The sequence below is a fragment of the Homo sapiens genome, chromosome 1 (assembly GCF_000001405.40).
Source record: "Homo sapiens chromosome 1, GRCh38.p14 Primary Assembly".
Taxonomy (NCBI): domain Eukaryota; kingdom Metazoa; phylum Chordata; class Mammalia; order Primates; family Hominidae; genus Homo; species Homo sapiens.
Window position 1 is genome coordinate 102,092,758 of NC_000001.11, and position 3,870 is coordinate 102,096,627.

General features: G+C 33.0%; 1 long non-coding RNA gene across 1 annotated transcript; it reads left to right on the forward strand.

The window, feature by feature from the left end:
- The first annotated feature begins 230 nt into the window (after nucleotides 1-230).
- Nucleotides 231-3,053, forward strand: LOC107985095 (uncharacterized). Its single transcript, XR_001738167.1, has 2 exons — nucleotides 231-301; nucleotides 2,904-3,053. It is a non-coding gene; the product is annotated as an uncharacterized LOC107985095 (long non-coding RNA).
- The last annotated feature ends 817 nt before the right edge of the window (nucleotides 3,054-3,870 follow it).

The following is a 3,870-nucleotide window of genomic DNA, read 5'->3' on the forward strand; positions in this document are numbered from 1 at the left end:
CTCTCTACCTCACTTTGGAGTCCTTTTAGGGCTGTTTGCAGGCTAGAAAAAAGAGAAGGTTGAGCCTCTGAACAAAGAACAAGGGCATTACACAGTTAAACCCTTTGAAGAGGAATTCATCATCTCAGGCAAGCATGAACAAACCTTTGATCACCCAACCTTGATGAGCTGGAAGGGGTATCTGTTGAGTCTCCTCTTGGATTTCAAATCTCCCTGATTTTTTGGTTTGAGATCCATACTATATTCAAATGACCTGACTTCATGCTCAAGGGGGATTAAAGTTCTACTTTAAACCTTTAAGGTAGGAATTTTGTTTGTTATTCTCTAGAGAATTGGCTTACTGCAGAACTGTGATTTTTACTTTTCTTTGAGGTTAACGTTTTGTTGTTTTCACTTGTTGGAGTTCTCAAGCTTTTCTCTTGTTCAAAATTTGGTCAAAGAGAAAAGAGTTTCTCTTTGATAAGAGAAAGCAAAATTTTTGTAGCTTAAGGAACAAAATATATATTTAGCTTAAATATATAGCTAAATTATAAATATATATTTGCTTAGGCTATACATAGCTCATATATATAGCTGAATTATATATATATAGCTGAATTATATACATATATAATATATACAATATATATTATATATTTATATATGATATATACAATATATATTACATATTATATATACAATATATAATATATAATATATAATATTATATATTATATATTGTATATAATATATATTATATAACATTATATAATATATAATATTATATATTATATATTGTATATAATATATATTATATAACATTATATAATATATACTATTATATATTATAATATATAATATATAATAATATATAATAGTATATATTATATATATTGTATATATTATATATAAATATATAATATATAATATATATTATATAATATATATTATATAATATATATTATTATATATTATATATTTATATATAATATATATTATATATATTATATTTTATATATAAATATATAATATATAATAATATATAATTTAATATATATAATATATACAATATATAATATATAATATATTAATATATATAATATATACAATATATAATATATAATATATAATATATAATATAAATTATTATATATAATATATATTATATATAGCTGAATTATATATATATACATAGCTTATATATATATAGCTGAATTTTATATATATATATATATATTTTTTTTTTACAACTGCCCAGAATCTGAATCTTGGTTCAGTTGACAAATCTAAAACTATTCTTTTTGAGATGCCAAAATAATATATGGCTATTTATGAGGCCCACTAGGATTTTGGCCATTCAGGAAAGAAAATCTAAATTATGGGCAATTGTGCCTCTAAAACCAAATTTTCTTGCTTAAGAAAAAAATCAACCATTATAAACACCAGCTGGATTTATGTTAAAAACTTACAAAATCTCTAAATGCAAATATTTAGGAAACTGGTTATGTACAACTCATAACCTCAGATTACAATGGCTAAAATGTGGTTCCTTTGAAATACCTACGTTAATTTATCTGTGTCCACAATTAGAAAAATCTTGTTTTAGAACAAGACAAATTGAATGGGAGGCTTACTTCCAGTATCACCTAGAAGCTTCTAAAAGAATTCTGAAAGAAAAACATTGCCTTCATTAAAGAAATAAACAAAAGGATATTTGGAGCTATTTATAAATTTAAAAAGACTTTGAAAGCTTTCTGCCTTTGAAGCCCACATTGCAAAATTATTAAATATAACTGAGAAAATTATTACAGTGAAAGAGATCTGATCTAACCAACTCCATCTCTCTTCTAACCTTCAACTTGTCCTTCCTTGTTCATTCCTGAGTATAGGTCAAACTAATTGGGGAAGGATCCTTTGAAACAAAGATTATAATAGCTCTTTCCAAAAACAAACCTCCTTCCTGCTTGAGAACTAGACTGCCTTTGCAGGGCTAACAAATTAGCCACAAGTTTAGAAATTATGGATTAGCGGTCATGCAGCTGAAGGCCACAAGATTTTCTGACCCACCCAAATTGCTCCCGGGGATAACATCACTATTGTAAAACCTAAGATCAGTGCTTGAAATATTTTGCAGACCCTGTACTTGATAGATTAGCTAGCACCAACCAGATTAATAAACTGGCTCACCTAGTCTTGTGCCCCACCCCCGTGCCCCCCGACCCCCGGCCAGGAATTGCCTTAGTTCAGGAGGATGGCTTCCAGTCCCTATGATTTCAGTTCCAACCCAACCAATCATGACTCTTGACTTACTGGCTCCTACCCATCTAATTATCTTTACAAGCTTTGATCCCCAAATTCTCAGGGAGACTGATTTTAGTAATAATAGAACTCTGGTCTCTCATAAAGCCAGCTGTGTGTGAATCAAACCCTTCTTCTATTGCAATTCTTCTGTCTTGATAAATCAGCTCTGTCTAGGCAGTGGGCAAGGAGAACCTACTGGATGGTTACAAATTTGGGTGCTCATCTGGGATGACCCTTGTGGCCAGCTGCCTGTGGTTCAGTAGCCCTCTTCTGGTGATGGATCCAGAAGACAGGCCAAGTGGCCGCCTAGTTCTCTTGGAGTAGGGGCTGTCTCTGGCATCTTCTCTACCAGTGGGCTACTGTGGTGCCAATGTGCATGGATTCAATTTCAATGAAAAAATACTCTTGGGGAGAGTCCCATAACTATAGCCCCATCACCAGGTGTCTGTCTGTAGCCCCGTCATGGGATGTCTCTCTGTCGCCCCGTGACTGGATGTCTGTTCTAATTGGATGGAGAATAGAGGACTTATTTGAAGGAACACTCTTAGTTTGTGATTTGTCTGGAATCTCTGTCTGGAAAGTATTCTTCTTGTCTTTTTCACTGTGTGTGTTTGTGTATGTAGAGGAAATCTCTGAAGAAATCGTGGATGGAAATCCTGGCCAGTTACATTCACTGAACCTTGAAACAATTGTTACAAGAAACTCAACACGCCTGACTCAGGGTTACTGTTCATTCTTCTGGAAGCTGCAGAGAAAGGGAACCTGGAAACCTGGTATGCCATCAAAAAGCATAAACATTTCTTACCAGCCAGGTCTCTGGCCTCTGTGTGTGTGTGTGTGTGTGTGTGTGTGTGTGTGTGTGTGTGTGTGTGTGTGTCATGGTAAACATCACAGTTTGCCTCCTCTGCAAAGGTTTGGTTAATAGAAGAAGGGATTTGTGAGACTGGTCTTAGGTTGTAGAAAATCTTGTGTGCTTTGTTCTATAAATTTGTCTTTCTGTATTGTTCTGTAATAGAGAGATTGGTATCACAGGATAGAATATGGGCTTAGGATCCCTATACACACCTTTTCAAGACAGCCCAGAAGTCTGGGCAGTTATAAAGTTTGATGAGGTTCTCTGAAACCAATACCAGAATAAGTTTCTCTCTTGTCTTGTTTTATGTCCTTGAGAGCTTAATCTTGTGATAATGTAGGGAATATTTTCTTTTAATCTCTGCCATCCAGAGGACAGGAATTTTGGAGGTCATGTCATAGGTAGTCCTAAAAATTATCTTGAGCTGTTAAAAGTATTTGCAAGCTCAAAAATGACTGCCTTAGACTCCTGGGGAGAGCAGCAGTAAACAACCCCGTGTTTTAGCTCAGTAGCTAAAGCTCTGCACCTTCACAATAGTGGCTTGGGTTCAATTCCCAGCTTATGAAACAAATACTTTTTGGTTTATTATTTGTGTAACTTTTGCCAATTATTGATTCTTTTTACCCCATGGACAGCTTCTGATTTGTCTTGAATTTTCTTTCTCTGAACTACCTATGGGGAGATTTTAAATCTTGTAAAAAAAAAAAAAAAGAAAGAAAAAGAAAAAAGAAAAATGA